This window comes from Homo sapiens, chromosome 4, assembly GCF_000001405.40.
Source record: "Homo sapiens chromosome 4, GRCh38.p14 Primary Assembly".
NCBI classification, from domain to species: domain Eukaryota; kingdom Metazoa; phylum Chordata; class Mammalia; order Primates; family Hominidae; genus Homo; species Homo sapiens.
The window spans coordinates 32,747,744-32,749,070 of NC_000004.12; the positions used below are offsets into that span (position 1 = coordinate 32,747,744).

Sequence of the window (1,327 nt, forward strand, 5' to 3'; positions counted from 1 at the left end):
CATATATTTTATTTCCTCCAGTCTGTATACATCCACTGATAATTTTGACAAAATTATTAAGAAAAATCAAATGTTTGAATATTAATCAAATGCTCTTTTTCAAGGAAAATGGCTCTGACATATTAGTCTTTTGATTTATTTCTTGCCTGTACACTAGAGATTTACATTGATTTGCTCAAATCCGTGGTGAGCTTATTGAAACTAGAAACTGCCTTATTCTTCATTATACCTCCTGTGCCATACATGATGCTTTACGCAAATACGTGTTTTAAATTATTTGTTGGGTGTGATACAGGATGGGGGCAGGGAAGTGCTGGGAAGAGAAGGGCAAAGACCCTGGATAGGGCTCCATTCTCTAGCCTGTGCCCACGAACCTAAGTGAGAACAGGCACTCCTCTTTTCACGCCCCAGTGTTACATTCTCCAAGACCACTCTAGCCCGCCATGCCCCCCATTCTGTGCCCGTAGAAACCTGAGACCTTAAGTGGTCGCAGACACAAGTGGCTGGGCGTCAAGAGGAAAATGGGAGCACACTAGCAGACACCAGAGACACCAGCCGACCAGCAATGGCAGAAAGACGCAGACCCCAGGGGAATTCAGCCAGGGACAGTCGGGGAAGAGTCCAGCCCCTGGGCGGCGGGACTCCGGGAGAAGATCACATTCCCATTCCATCTTCCGCTTCTGGCTCCCCATCCATGTAGCTGAGAGCCACCTCCACCATTCAATAAACCTTGCGTTCAACGTTCCAGCCCACTTGTGATCTGGTTCTTCAGGTACTCTGGGCAAGAACTCAGGCTGTCACACTGGCGCCCCTGTCGTTGCGATGAGGCAGAGAGTCCATTGGGCTGAGTAACACAATCCATCTGCAGACCGCATAGCTGAAAGAGCACACTGTAACACACGCCCACCTGGGCTTTGGGAGTTGTAAACACTCACTCCTAGACTCTGCCAAGTGCGGTCACAGCTCAAAAATGCTTCCCACGACCTTTGCACCTGTCTATCTGTGTGCTGCCCCTAGGAGTCTCAGCAGTGGACCACATAAGAACTGAGCTACACTCCTATCACCCTCTGTGATGGGGATAAGGCAACACTCCTGTTTCAAACGGACACTCAAAATGATACGCTATATTGTCAAAATTGTATGCTAAAACTAAGTTTTAGTTAATTTTAGGATGACAGTGAAAGGTAATATTCTGGGATACTCGAACACATTATAAAAGTAACAAAAACAGTTTAATGGCTTATTTATTTATGTTATAAAATTGTCATTTAGATGTTTACTCAAGAAAGTAATTCATGACATATCAAGTGTTTGACTATACAGCATT

The 1,327-nt window shown here is 45.1% G+C and overlaps 2 annotated features.

The window, feature by feature from the left end:
• Positions 602–1,101: an enhancer, noted in NCBI's record as "H3K4me1 hESC enhancer chr4:32749967-32750466 (GRCh37/hg19 assembly coordinates)". NCBI's record gives its function as "activates a minimal SCP1, AML or CMV promoter by ChIP-STARR-seq in primed H9 embryonic stem cells {active_cell/tissue: H9 hESC(primed)}" and the evidence as "EXISTENCE:reporter gene assay evidence [ECO:0000049][PMID:30033119]".
• Positions 784–1,078: an enhancer, noted in NCBI's record as "tiled region #3632; HepG2 Activating DNase matched - State 12:CtcfO". NCBI's record gives its function as "activates a minimal TATA promoter and a strong SV40 promoter by Sharpr-MPRA in HepG2 cells {active_cell/tissue: HepG2}" and the evidence as "EXISTENCE:reporter gene assay evidence [ECO:0000049][PMID:27701403]".